At 65.1% G+C, this 12,598-nt stretch overlaps 1 protein-coding gene across 8 annotated transcripts, besides 9 other annotated features; it reads left to right on the top strand.

Moving 5' to 3' along the window:
- Positions 489–12,170, top strand: SIGIRR (single Ig and TIR domain containing). Of its 8 annotated transcripts, none has more exons than NM_021805.3 (10): positions 489–561; positions 7,859–8,018; positions 8,993–9,191; positions 9,680–9,813; positions 9,929–10,069; positions 10,318–10,461; positions 10,722–10,824; positions 10,893–11,043; positions 11,348–11,537; positions 11,827–12,170. In NM_021805.3, exons 2-10 carry the CDS (start codon positions 8,012–8,014, stop codon positions 11,988–11,990), a joined length of 1,233 nt encoding a protein of 410 aa, NP_068577.2. In that variant the 5' UTR covers positions 489–561; positions 7,859–8,011; the 3' UTR covers positions 11,991–12,170. The 8 variants fall into 8 exon arrangements, with proteins under 8 accessions (NP_068577.2, XP_047283344.1, NP_001128525.1 ...); XM_047427388.1 differs by having other exon boundaries at positions 11,348–11,744; NM_001135053.2 differs by having other exon boundaries at positions 489–592.
- Positions 655–704: a silencer, noted in NCBI's record as "silent region_3004". NCBI's record gives its function as "represses an Ori minimal core promoter by ATAC-STARR-seq in GM12878 lymphoblastoid cells {active_cell/tissue: GM12878}" and the evidence as "EXISTENCE:reporter gene assay evidence [ECO:0000049][PMID:35858748]".
- Positions 915–994: a silencer, noted in NCBI's record as "silent region_3003". NCBI's record gives its function as "represses an Ori minimal core promoter by ATAC-STARR-seq in GM12878 lymphoblastoid cells {active_cell/tissue: GM12878}" and the evidence as "EXISTENCE:reporter gene assay evidence [ECO:0000049][PMID:35858748]".
- Positions 1,025–1,144: a silencer, noted in NCBI's record as "silent region_3002". NCBI's record gives its function as "represses an Ori minimal core promoter by ATAC-STARR-seq in GM12878 lymphoblastoid cells {active_cell/tissue: GM12878}" and the evidence as "EXISTENCE:reporter gene assay evidence [ECO:0000049][PMID:35858748]".
- Positions 1,205–1,274: a silencer, noted in NCBI's record as "silent region_3001". NCBI's record gives its function as "represses an Ori minimal core promoter by ATAC-STARR-seq in GM12878 lymphoblastoid cells {active_cell/tissue: GM12878}" and the evidence as "EXISTENCE:reporter gene assay evidence [ECO:0000049][PMID:35858748]".
- Positions 1,795–2,414: an enhancer, noted in NCBI's record as "H3K27ac-H3K4me1 hESC enhancer chr11:415472-416091 (GRCh37/hg19 assembly coordinates)". NCBI's record gives its function as "activates a minimal SCP1, AML or CMV promoter by ChIP-STARR-seq in naive H9 embryonic stem cells {active_cell/tissue: H9 hESC(naive)}" and the evidence as "EXISTENCE:reporter gene assay evidence [ECO:0000049][PMID:30033119]".
- Positions 10,645–10,704: a silencer, noted in NCBI's record as "silent region_3000". NCBI's record gives its function as "represses an Ori minimal core promoter by ATAC-STARR-seq in GM12878 lymphoblastoid cells {active_cell/tissue: GM12878}" and the evidence as "EXISTENCE:reporter gene assay evidence [ECO:0000049][PMID:35858748]".
- Positions 10,775–11,034: a silencer, noted in NCBI's record as "silent region_2999". NCBI's record gives its function as "represses an Ori minimal core promoter by ATAC-STARR-seq in GM12878 lymphoblastoid cells {active_cell/tissue: GM12878}" and the evidence as "EXISTENCE:reporter gene assay evidence [ECO:0000049][PMID:35858748]".
- Positions 11,045–11,094: a silencer, noted in NCBI's record as "silent region_2998". NCBI's record gives its function as "represses an Ori minimal core promoter by ATAC-STARR-seq in GM12878 lymphoblastoid cells {active_cell/tissue: GM12878}" and the evidence as "EXISTENCE:reporter gene assay evidence [ECO:0000049][PMID:35858748]".
- Positions 11,671–12,364: an enhancer, noted in NCBI's record as "H3K27ac-H3K4me1 hESC enhancer chr11:405522-406215 (GRCh37/hg19 assembly coordinates)". NCBI's record gives its function as "activates a minimal SCP1, AML or CMV promoter by ChIP-STARR-seq in naive H9 embryonic stem cells {active_cell/tissue: H9 hESC(naive)}" and the evidence as "EXISTENCE:reporter gene assay evidence [ECO:0000049][PMID:30033119]".

Below are 12,598 nucleotides of genomic sequence, written 5' to 3'. Positions count from 1 at the left end.
GGGCTAGATGGGAAACAGACCCGGAGTGTGGAACGTCTGGAACCAGGTGAGGCCGCCTCAGGCCGCCTGTCCCTTCTCCAGTTTTCCATGGGCTTCCAAGGGAGGGGCGCCTATGGGGTCCTCTCCCCGTCCCTGCACCTGGGGTGTTGAGGGAGGCAAGAGAAGACATCGGGGCCACTTGAGGGTGGGGTGGGGGTCAAGGCAGGCTTCCTGGAGGAAAGGGAAGAGATAGGGGCGGACGCGCAAAACCTTGAGGGCGGTGGACGCTCCGAAGAGTCCCCAAGGCTCTGGGGCTCCGGGGCTCTGCGCGCTGGTTGGGCTGGTTTGGCCACTGGCCCCAGGCCCGTGCGGCAGCGGCTCCCGGGCAGCAGCGCAGCCTCCAGCGCCAGCCTTGGGCGCAGAGCGGGACGCTGGGGTCCGCCCCCGCCCTGACTGCGGGGCGGGGCCGCACCTGCTGCCGCTGCCGGGGCTACGCCGCCGCCGGGGCTGTTGCCGCTGCGCACCTGGCTCAGGTGAGCTGCCCCGCCCCCGCCCGGCGCGAGCCCCAGGTCCTGGCAGCAGGTGAGTGGCGGTCGCCATCAGACCCGCGAAGGTGAGTGGAGGTCGCAGTCCTCCCAGAGCCGCTGCAGGCCTGGAGTCGGGGCCCGGGGCGCTGCTTGTCCCTGGGCGCGGTCTCTCAGGAAATGGCTCGGGGCCGGGGAGGTTCCCGCGTCGCCCGGAAGCCCGAGCTCGCCCGCGTCCTGGCCCTTTCCAGGGCTGGGGGAAGGGAGGAAAGTGGGCGAAGGGGGCGGGGGCCACCCTTTCCTCTGCCCGACGTGGTCAGCGGCTTTTTGGTGACCCTCGCGCAGAACAGAGCGGGGCTAGGAGCGCCGAGGCGCGCAGGGATCCCACCTCGGTCGCCCAAGCCTGGATCCCAGCTCGAGGCTTCCTGAGGCGCCGAGGGCGGACCAAGAGTCAGGCTGGGGCCCGAGCTCGCCCGGCGCCGGGTGGAGCTTCCGCCATCCGCGCGCCTCTGCCCCGGCCGAGCGCCCCGAGCCGCACCCCCGTGCCCGCCTCCCGCGCGCGTCCTCGTTCTCCGCCCTCCTCACTTGGAGGGCGCCCAGGGCGCAGGTGGGCGCGGGGTAGGGGAGCGAACCAGAGCCCCTCGGCCTGCGGGGCCGCAGCCTTTTACCCACGTTCCTGCTTCAGGACAGGCGCTGGGGGCCCAGCGCGCACGGGGAGCGGAGGGGCGGCGCGTCCGAGCTGAGCGGGAGTCGCCCGCAGGGTGCTGGGTGCTGAGCGTCGAACCCACCGGGCAGGGGCGGCCGCGGACCGAGGACGCTGGCTGGGTCTGAGGGCGGGAGGAGCTGGCGCTTTCTAAGAACCTCAAGGTGCCCAGCAGAGTGCGGTGGGCAGTGCGAGGCGACCAGGGCCAGGCTTGGACTGAGATTCTGGGCGCCTCGGAAGAGCTGTGCGGGCGAGGGTCGGAGACTTTGTGGGTGTTCATGCTCACCCTGGACGGTGGACCTGGGGGCTCGGGGGTGCAGGACGTTAGCAGAGAGAGGGAAGGAGAGGGTGCCAAGCCAGCCCTGAGAGATGGTGACGCTGAGACCGGGTGCACAGAGCAGCCGCCGAGCCGGGGCTTCACAGTTGGCGGCTGACCCCAGGGCCTGTGCTGGAGGCCCTGCTCCTGCTTCCTGCGGGGGTGCCCTGGGCCCTGCTGTGCCTGCTTCCTGACCTGCAGTGTGGGGAGAACCTTCTTGAGGGGCTTCCAAGGACCCACTTCAAGGAGGGGCTGGTACCAGGCTCTGTGGGGGAAGGGGTGCTGTCTTTGGGACCCTGAGCCCAAGGCCCACCATCACCCAAGGCTGAGTACCGGGACAAAGGAAGGTCCTAGCAGGGCTGGGACTCAGTCAGACAAGTACCTGTAGAAAGCCTGCTGCTGAGAGGGTGCTCAGCCAGGGCCGGGAGGCTGGATGGCAGCCCTCCACAATGAAGCCCTGCCCCCATGTGGCTGAGGGCAGGGCCAGGGTCCAAAGGAGACCCTTGTCTGATTCTGTGGGCAATACCAGCCACCGGTCACTGGGTCCCCAGTCCCAGGTCAACCTGGGGAGTGTCAGTTTGGTGACAACAGGAGATGCCATCTGCCCCTCATCTGCTCTGAGCCAGGAGCCTCGGCCACCTGTGTTTGCTCCTTATTTGGAAAAGGGGGCGCTGCCCTCCCACCCCAGCCTGAAGGGAAGGTCCACAAGATGCCATAGTCCCTTGTAACTGCTCACCCATCGGGGGAGCTATGTCTGGGAGAGGGACGGGGAGAGGGCGGAAGAGTTCTGCTGGAGCCCCATTGTTGACCGGGAGTTTCTGAAGGCCCTGTTCCCCGGGGTCAGAGGTCAAAGACACATGGGGGAGCAAACCGGCCCCTTGGCTCCTGAGTGTGAGCTCTAGTAGCGTCTGGAAGGCATGCCGCGCGGTCCCCGGTCCTCCTTGTATGTGTGCAGGGTGGCCCTGGCGGGGGTCTCCTGGCTGGAGGACCCCCCATGCATTACCCCTGGAACCTGCCCCTTTGAGCACCCCCCACCCCACAACACACACGCACACACACAAACGCACGCACACGCACATACTGCACACACATTGCACACACGCAGACACACTGCACACACACACACACACACACACACACACACACACACACACACGCTGCACAGAGGAAAGTGCCGTGCCTGGGTGGGTTGGGGCGGGCTCCAGAGGAAGGAGCCGCTTGACTCAGAGCTACAGGAAGAGCCGGGGCAGGCGGGGTGAGAACCACCAACTGCCCGTCCTCCCGCCCGCCTAGGGAAGGGGTGGGTGCCTGGGTGGGGTTTAGGGTTAGGAGAGGATGTGACTGCAAGGCCAGGAAGCTACAGGGAAAGTTCTGATCAAAATACACAAAGACACAAGCCAGGTCCCCACCGCGCTTGGCGATGCATCCATAGCAGCCTTGGTGCTGTGGACACTCCCTGGGGCCCAGCGAAGGGGAGAGTTTGCTCCCAAAGGCGCACCAATGACCAACATTTGCCCCCCGGAGGAAAGAACTGGAACCAGGTGACTGCCTTCCCCGCTGCTCTGAGTGAGCCTGTGTCAGGGCCTGGCTGAGAGGAGGCCCACGGCGCCCAAGACCCATATGCATGTGTGTGCATGTGTGTGTGAGACAGAGCGAGGGGCAGCAGGAGGCTGTGTCGCATCAGCGGCCAAGGGTGGGTGTCAGGTGCAGTGTGTGTGCTGTGGGGTGCCTGTGGTCCTAGGCTCTGTGACAAGCGTTGCAATGGGTGTTGTATATACTCAACAGTTGTGTGAGGGGTCTGCAGCCTAAGCTGTGTGCAGTGGTAATGGGAGGTGTGTGTGGTAGGAAGTGTGCTGTGTAGGAGGTGCAAGTGTGCACACGGGCTGAGACTGAAGCTCTGTGCAGGTGCACATGGGCCAGAGGGCTGTGTGTATGTGATGTGTGCAGGGGAGGAGGGGCAGAGGAGAGGGTGCAGGGGAAGTTAGGGAGGGGAGGGGGTACAAGGAAAGGTGTGCAGGGGAGAGGGTGCAGGGAAAGGTGGGGAGGGGAGAGGGTGCAGGGGAAGGTAGGCAGAGGAGAGGGTGCAGGGGAGAGGGTGCAGGGGAAGGTGTGCAGGGAAAGGTGGGGAGGGGAGAGGGTGCAGGGGAAGGTAGGCAGAGGAGAGGGTGCAGGGGAAGGTGTGCAGGGGAGAGGGTGCAGGGAAAGGTGGGGAGGGGAGAGGGTGCAGGGGAAGGTAGGCAGAGGAGAGGGTGCAGGGGAAGGTGTGCAGGGAAAGGTGGGGAGGGAGAGGGTGCAGGGGAAGGTAGGCAGAGGAGAGAGTGCAGGGGAAGGTGTGCAGGGGAGAGGGTGCAGGGAAAGGTGGGGAGGGGAGAGGGTGCAGGGGAAGGTAGGCAGACGAGAGTACAGGGAAAGGTAGGGAGGAGAGAAGGTGCAGGAGGAGGCAGGCAGAAGAGAGGGTGCAGGGGAAGGTGGGGAGGGGAGAGGGTGCAGGGGGAGGCAGGCAGAGGAGAGGGTTCAGGGGAGAGGGTGCAGGGGAAGGTGGGCAGGGGAAGGTGGGGAGTGGAGAGCGTGCAGGGGGAGGCAGGCAGAGGAGAGGGTGCAGGGGAAGGTGCGTAGGGGAGAGGGAGCAGGGGAGAGGGTGCGGGAAGAGGGTGCAGGGGAGGGTTTGCAGGGAGAGGGTGCAGGGGAGAGGGTGCAAGGAGAGGCAGGCAGCGGAGAGGGTGCAGAGGAGGGTTTGCAGGGGAGGGCACCTGCTTTCTTGCTGTGCTCGTATCCTGGCAGTCTGCCCTTGACTTCCAGAAGGCTCTGAGGCTGCTTTTGGAGGGAGGACTTTGAGGTCTGAGCTTGGGGCGGTCACGGAAGCACTGCAGGAGATGCCAGGGGTTCTGCTGGGCTGGCGGTGTGACCTCCCGGGCTTGCTGTGAGGGGTTGGTTTCCTGGGAAGTGTGTGCTTTAAGGACCCTCAGTGGGTGGTTCCCCTGGGTCAAGGACTTTCCTTGGAGTGTCCTCCACCGCAAAGGACTTCTTCAAGGACCCCCTGGCCATCCCCCATGGGTGTGTGCCTCATGCTGTATCGGTTCCCGAGGAAACTGCCAAACAGTCAAACCTGGGGCCTCTGGCTGTGCTTCACCCATGGAGAGGGAATAGGTGGCAGGCTAAGAGGACTGTCCCTGCCACTGCCTCTGGGGCCTTAGCGGGGAGGAATCCTGAGGGAGCTGGGGTGCAGAAACTTAGGCTTGATCCCCACATCCCCACTTCCACTGTGTCCCTGCAGCAGGGAGGGGAGTAGACAGTCAGTGCCTGTTGGATAAACAGGGTGACCCTGTGGCATCCAGTGAGGAGAGGCCCCTGGGGCCCTGGGCTGCCAAGGAAGAGGCTCTGGGCTTCTCCCTGCAGCCACCTCACTGAGGAGCTTTGGGAGACTTGAGGTGTGTGTGGCTGCTGCTACGGGCTGGGAAAGGACATGGGACCCGAGACCTCCATCCCCACCGGGCGCTGTTCACCCTCCGGCCTCACAACCGCAGGGCGAGGCTAAGCTGAGGGTTCCCGAGGTGTTTCCCGAGGTGTTTCGAGGTGTCTGTGCTCACGTGCACTCCTGACTGTAACCAGACGTGGGCCAGAGCTGGGCACCCCCCCTCGACTGCATCCAGACATGGTTAGAGCTGGGCACCCCCCCCCCCCGACTGTATCCAGACATGGTCAGAGCTGAGCACCCCTCCCCGACTGTATCCAGACATGTTCAGAGCTGGGCACCCCCCCCCGACTGTATCCAGACATGTTCAGAGCTGGGCACCCCCCCCCGACTGTATCCAGACATGGTCAGAGCTGGGCACCCCCCCCCGACTGTATCCAGACATGGTCAGAGCTGGGCACCCCCCGACTGCATCCAGACATGGTCAGAGCTGAGCACCCCCCCCCGCCCGACTGTATCCAGACATGGTCAGAGCTGGGCACCCCCCGACTGCATCCAGACATGGTCAGAGCTGGGCACCCCCCTCCCCGACTGCATTCAGACATGGTCAGAGCTGGGCACCCCCGCCGACTGCATCCAGACATGGTCAGAGTTGGGCACCCCCCCCCCGACTGTATCCAGACATGGTCAGAGCTGGGCACCCCCCGACTGCATCCAGACATGGTCAGAGCTGGGCACCCCTCCCCGACTGTATCCAGACATGGTCAGAGCTGGGCACCCCCCCCCGACTGTATCCAGACATGGTCAGAGCTGGGCACCTCCCCCCGACTGTATCCAGACATGGTCAGAGCTGGGCACCTCCCCCGACTGCATCCAGACATGGTCAGAGCTGGGCACCCCCCCCGACTGCATCCAGACATGGTCAGAGCTGGGCACCCCCCCCCCCCACTGTATCCAGACATGGTCAGAGCTGGGCACCCCCCTCCCCGACTGCATCCAGACATGGTCAGAGCTGAGCACCCCCCCCCCCCGACTGTATCCAGACATGGTCAGAGCTGGGCACCCCCCTCCCCGACTGTATCCAGACATGGTCAGAGCTGAGCCCCCCCCCCGCCCGACTGTATCCAGACATGGTCAGAGCTGGGCACCCCCCGACTGCATCCAGACATGGTCAGAGCTGAGCACCCCTCCCCGACTGCATCCAGACATGGTCAGAGCTGGGCACCCCCCCCCCCCACCGACTGTATCCAGACATGGTCAGAGCTGGGCAACCCCCACCGACTGTATCCAGACATGGTCAGAGCTGGGCACCCCCCGACTGCATCCAGACATGGTCAGAGCTGGGCACCCCCCGCCGACTGTATCCAGACATGGTCAGAGCTGGGCACCCCCCTCCCCGACTGCATCCAGACATGGTCAGAGCTGGGCACCCCCCTCCCCGACTGCATCCAGACATGGTCAGAGCTGGGCACCCCTCCCCGACTGTATCCAGACATGGTCAGAGCTGGGCACCCCCCTCCCCGACTGTATCCAGACATGGTCAGAGCTGGGCACCCCCGCCGACTGTATCCAGACATGGTCAGAGCTGGGCACCCCCCGACTGCATCCAGACATGGTCAGAGCTGGGCACCCCTCCCCGACTGTATCCAGACATGGTCAGAGCTGGGCACCCCCCCCCCCCGACTGTATCCAGACATGGTCAGAGCTGAGCACCCCTCCCCGACTGTATCCAGACATGTTCAGAGCTGGGCACCCCCCCCCCCGACTGTATCCAGACATGGTCAGAGCTGGGCACCCCCCTCCCCGACTGCATCCAGACATGGTCAGAGCTGAGCACCCCCCCCGCCCGACTGCATCCAGACATGGTCAGAGCTGGGCACCCCCCGACTGCATCCAGACATGGTCAGAGCTGGGCACCCCCCTCCCCGACTGCATTCAGACATGGTCAGAGCTGGGCACCCCCCTCCCCGACTGCATCCAGACATGGTCAGAGCTGGGCACCCCCGCCGACTGTATCCAGACATGGTCAGAGCTGGGCACCCCCCTCCCCGACTGTATCCAGACATGGTCAGAGCTGGGCACCCCCGCCGACTGTATCCAGACATGGTCAGAGCTGGGCACCCCCCTCCCCGACTGCATCCAGACATGTTCAGAGCTGGGCACCCCCCCCCGACTGTATCCAGACATGGTCAGAGCTGGGCACCCCCCGACTGCATCCAGACATGGTCAGAGCTGGGCAACCCCCTCCCTGACTGCATCCAGACATGGTCAGAGCTGGGCACCCCCCCCGGCTGTATCCAGACATGGTCAGAGCTGGGCACCCCCCCCCCCCGACTGCATCCAGACATGGTCAGAGCTAAGCAAAGCCCCCCGCCGACTGTATCCAGACATGGTCAGAGCTGGGCACCCCCACCCCAACTGCATCCAGACATGGTCAGAGCTGAGCACCCCCCACCGACTGTATCCAGACATGGTCAGAGCTGGGCATCTCCCATGGTGTAGGTTACATCACTCACACCCCTGCCCCAAGGCCAGGCTGTGTCTCTGGCACTGCAGCACCCCCTGCAGTGGCAGCTCTGTTGAAGGGGACAGCCAGGAGTGAGGCCAACTGCCATGTCGGGAGACAGGGTCCCACCTAGTGTTCGTCCACTGCACCCTGGGGCCGTCATGGTGGCCCCAGGGCCGGTGGAGGTGATCCTGGACTTGATGGCCCCTCCCCGTGGTCCTGGGCTGCGTGAAGTGGTGCCCATTCTGGCCACGTGTGAGGGGCTCAAAGAGACACCCTGCTGGCCTCCGAGAACTCTGCCAGCATCCATGCGGCTGCTCAGGGTCGCATCTGGTCAGGGCCAGTGCTGTCTGTGGCCGGCAGTTACTGGTTAACTCATCCTGTTCCTGTTTAACTTGTTCCCTGGGGATGGCGGCAGCCTCTGACCTGTCCAGGTGCCCTGTCCAGCTGACTGCAAGGACAGAGAGGAGTCCTGCCCAGCTCTTGGATCAGTCTGCTGGCCGAGGAGCCCGGTGGAGCCAGGGGTGACCCTGGAGCCCAGCCTGCCCCGAGGAGGCCCCGGCTCAGAGCCATGCCAGGTAGGCAGGTCAGAGAGGGATGGGCTTGAATTCCCCACTCCCACCTCCTGCCCCTCAGGCTGGCTCCACATTGTGCATCCTGCTCTTATCCCAGGCACTCTGCCTGGCCACATGCCGGGGGTACAAAGGCCCCTGCTCACCCCTCCCACTGGGCCCTTGGCCCTGAAACCAGGGCGAGTGGTGAGGATGAGCCCTGCACCCTCTCCTGCCCCAGACCAGGCTCATGAGGGTCAGTAAAGCCCAGGAATGCTAGGAGTGGGCACTGCTGGGGCCCACAGCAGGGTGTGGCCGATGTGAGCTGGCAGGAGACCATACCCTACTGAGAAGATGGTGGTTTGACCTCCCGCTAGGGCTCATCACCCTGATGTAAAGATGAACAAGTTCAGGCCTCAGGTGGTGGGGAGGGCTTGCCTGTGGCCAGGAGCAGAGGGCCCCAAGACCCCCAAGGCAGGAATGAGGCCAACTGCTCCAGGCTCCCAGCTGTGCCCATCCAGGTGGAAGGTGCTGGCACACTGGGCATCTGGGTCCCCAAACCCACTGGTGCCCACACTCTCTGCAGATTCCCCAGCAGAGGCAGGCCAGGCTGAGGGGTGCAGTGCCCGGCCCCTCCTATGAGACAGGCATCATGGTGTCACCAGGGGTGGGCAACAGGTGCATCTGGGAAATGGGGGGCTGGACTCACATCCTGGGTGGACAAGCAGCCAGATGGGGCTTGAGCGTGGGCCTGGGGCAGCTCAACTGTGGCCACTGCTCTCTGTCCCCTCAGCACAGGGTGGGCGGAACACCCAAAGCCTGGCCACTACTGGGGAAAGACGTGCCAAGTGCTAAGCCTGTCCCCATGGGACTCGTGGACAGACATGGTGTGACTGCCAAGCCACACAGAGGCCTTATTTCTTCCTGCACCACGGACCACTGTGGAGGTGGTGGGGCCAGGCACCCTGGCACAGCTGACCCACTGTGTCCTCTCTCTTCAGGTGTCTGTGATAGGGCCCCTGACTTCCTCTCCCCGTCTGAAGACCAGGTGCTGAGGCCTGCCTTGGGCAGCTCAGTGGCTCTGAACTGCACGGCTTGGGTAGTCTCTGGGCCCCACTGCTCCCTGCCTTCAGTCCAGTGGCTGAAAGACGGGCTTCCATTGGGAATTGGGGGCCACTACAGCCTCCACGAGTACTCCTGGTAAGAGACCCGGGTATCCAGGGTCAGAGTGACCTCTCAGACATGCCAAGGGCAGTGGTCTCCCTGACCTATGCCTGGGTCTGTAACCACCTGGCCAGACATGTCACGAGCAGAGTGCCTCTGTGGACCCAGACGGAGGGTCAGTAATGTCAGGGACAGACCCTTGGGTCTGCATGGCCCCTGTAGGCACACACCTCGTAACTGCCCAGGGCTACGGGTGTCAGCAAAGTCTAGGGTCTGAATGAACACCGACCAGCTGGCCAAGTCTGTGATCAAAGGACCTCCAGGCCCCAGACCCAGGACTGGGACGGCTGTTCTGAAACAAATCTGCATCCCCTCCAGGTTCAGGTCACTTCTCTTGGCTTAAGGCCCAAGAACCACCCAGGAGGCCCAATTCTGCAGCCTCCCTGGGTGAACCCAGACAGGTGGGGTTCGGGGGTGTCCACTGGTATCCCCAGTCGACCCTGACCCTGGCTTGGTATCCCCAGGGTCAAGGCCAACCTGTCAGAGGTGCTTGTGTCCAGTGTCCTGGGGGTCAACGTGACCAGCACTGAAGTCTATGGGGCCTTCACCTGCTCCATCCAGAACATCAGCTTCTCCTCCTTCACTCTTCAGAGAGCTGGTGATGGGGGTTCCCCAAGGTGGAGGGTAGAAGGGGACCTAGACCTAGTGAGGCCCAGGGATCTTGAGGCTTGGGGGCTGCTGGAGGGGCAGCGGCTCAGGCAACCCATCCGCAGGCCCTACAAGCCACGTGGCTGCGGTGCTGGCCTCCCTCCTGGTCCTGCTGGCCCTGCTGCTGGCCGCCCTGCTCTATGTCAAGTGCCGTCTCAACGTGCTGCTCTGGTACCAGGACGCGTATGGGGAGGTGGAGATAAACGGTGCGTGGGGCCCGCGTGGGCGCGAGGAGGGGTCGCCACGGCCTCCCTGAGAGTGCGCTGCTGAGCTCGGCTTTGGAGGCGTGCGGCGGGGAGGGGTTAGCCCCCGGGTGCTCTGTGCGGCCCGGCTGGGGTTAAAGTCCGGGGCGGGTCTGCCCCTGTGCACGTGGGAGATGGTTAGGGGTGTTGGGGACCCCGAGGGCTGGTGTGAGGCCTCGGGAGCCATCGGGGTGACTGGCCGCCGTCCGCAGACGGGAAGCTCTACGACGCCTACGTCTCCTACAGCGACTGCCCCGAGGACCGCAAGTTCGTGAACTTCATCCTAAAGCCGCAGCTGGAGCGGCGTCGGGGCTACAAGCTCTTCCTGGACGACCGCGACCTCCTGCCGCGCGCTGGTATCCCGGGCCCCACCCCGTGCCCCGCCCACCCGGAGGGCCCGCCCCGCCCCGCCCCATGCTCCGTCCCACCCGGGGCCCCACCCCCACCATCGAGCTCCGCCCCCATCCCCGCCCACCCGAGGCCCCGCCTCAAAAACCCGCCCACCCCGCAGGCCCCGCCCCTCCCTTAGAGCTCTGCGTCCGGCACCGCCCCTGAGCCTCCGGCCCCGCCCTCCCCCGCCCCCGCCCCTGCGCCGCCGACGCCCGCCCTCCCGCAGAGCCCTCCGCCGACCTCTTGGTGAACCTGAGCCGCTGCCGACGCCTCATCGTGGTGCTTTCGGACGCCTTCCTGAGCCGGGCCTGGTGCAGCCACAGCTTCCGGTGGGTCCCGCGCGGGGTTGGGTGGGCCCCAGCGTAGCACCCACCCCCCTGACGGTCCCGCCCCGCAGGGAGGGCCTGTGCCGGCTGCTGGAGCTCACCCGCAGACCCATCTTCATCACCTTCGAGGGCCAGAGGCGCGACCCCGCGCACCCGGCGCTCCGCCTGCTGCGCCAGCACCGCCACCTGGTGACCTTGCTGCTCTGGAGGCCCGGCTCCGTGGTGCGGAGCAGGCGCGGGAGGGTCCGGGGCTAGCGGCGGGTTAGAGATGGGCGGTGCCCGGGCTCCAGGCTGGGACCCCTCCGTGGGGAGCTCTGCGGCACCACGCTTTGTGAATGGGCCCTGGGGGGAGGTTCCGCTGCCTGGGGCCCCGATGCGGGGAGCCGCCCTTGAGGCCCCCGGAGCCACGGAATAGCTGTCGCAGGGCGTGGAACCCGTGGGCAGCCGCAGGTGTGCTCTTGGGGGCCAGGACGCCAGGGGCTTCCGAGGTGTTCACACCTGCAAACCGCCCCGACCTGGCCCCCAGACTCCTTCCTCCGATTTTTGGAAAGAAGTGCAGCTGGCGCTGCCGCGGAAGGTGCAGTACAGGCCTGTGGAAGGAGACCCCCAGACGCAGCTGCAGGACGACAAGGACCCCATGCTGATTCTTCGAGGCCGAGTCCCTGAGGGCCGGGCCCTGGACTCAGAGGTGGACCCGGACCCTGAGGGCGACCTGGGTATGCCCGCCCAGCCCCACTCCCCAACTGGAGAAGCTCAGCACAGGGCGGAGTGGGGGCAGGCACAGGGCACAGGGCCTGGAGGGGCTCCAGGTGTTGAGGACTCTTCCCGGCACCGGGAGCCCCTGCACGGCCTCTGCCCTGGAGGTGCTCGGCCCTCGGTCTGCCTGGGAACTTCCTGGGCCTCACAGGCCATCACAGCAGGGGGTGAGCAGGGGCAGCCCCTGGCAGTGGGTCTGGGCCAAGGCTGTGGGTGGCCACCTCAGGCGTCTCGGTCTCCCCACCCCAGGTGTCCGGGGGCCTGTCTTTGGAGAGCCATCAGCTCCACCGCACACCAGTGGGGTCTCGCTGGGAGAGAGCCGGAGCAGCGAAGTGGACGTCTCGGATCTCGGCTCGCGAAACTACAGTGCCCGCACAGACTTCTACTGCCTGGTGTCCAAGGATGATATGTAGCTCCCACCCCAGAGTGCAGGATCATAGGGACAGCGGGGGCCAGGGCAGCGGCGTCGCTCCTCTGCTCAACAGGACCACAACCCCTGCCAGCAGCCCTGGGACCCTGCCAGCAGCCCTGGGAAAAGGCTGTGGCCTCAGGGCGCCTCCCAGTGCCAGAAAATAAAGTCCTTTTGGATTCTGCTGGGGCCTCGGTCTCCTCCCTTGCGGCGGAAGGTTTCGGATTCGGCTTCCCTCTGCGGCTCTCTCAGCCTTCCACCCCTCCTCTCTCATCCCCACCCCTCCCTCTCTCATCCCCACCCGCCAAATCACCAAATCTGCCCTCTCTCCATCCCCCTTCCTAAGCCAGCTCAGGCGTGTCCCGTGCTTACAGTAGCCTCCTTGGGCCTCCTTGCCTGGTCCCTGGTTGGGGACGTGACTCTTCCTAGACCCTTCCCATGCAGGCAGATCCTGGATGGGGGCAGGCTCCTTAGAGACCTCAAGTTCTGAGCTTCACAGAAACTTTCTGTTTTAAGAATATCCACAGTAACTTCACAACTAAATGGCCTGGCTCTGGGTGAGATGGATGGGGGTGTCCGAGAGCCCACTGGACCCCAAACCTCAGGCAGCCA

Source organism: Homo sapiens, chromosome 11, assembly GCF_000001405.40.
Source record: "Homo sapiens chromosome 11, GRCh38.p14 Primary Assembly".
Lineage (NCBI taxonomy): Eukaryota > Metazoa > Chordata > Mammalia > Primates > Hominidae > Homo > Homo sapiens.
Note: the sequence above shows the minus strand (reverse complement) of the source record. Positions and strands in the feature narration are given on the sequence as shown.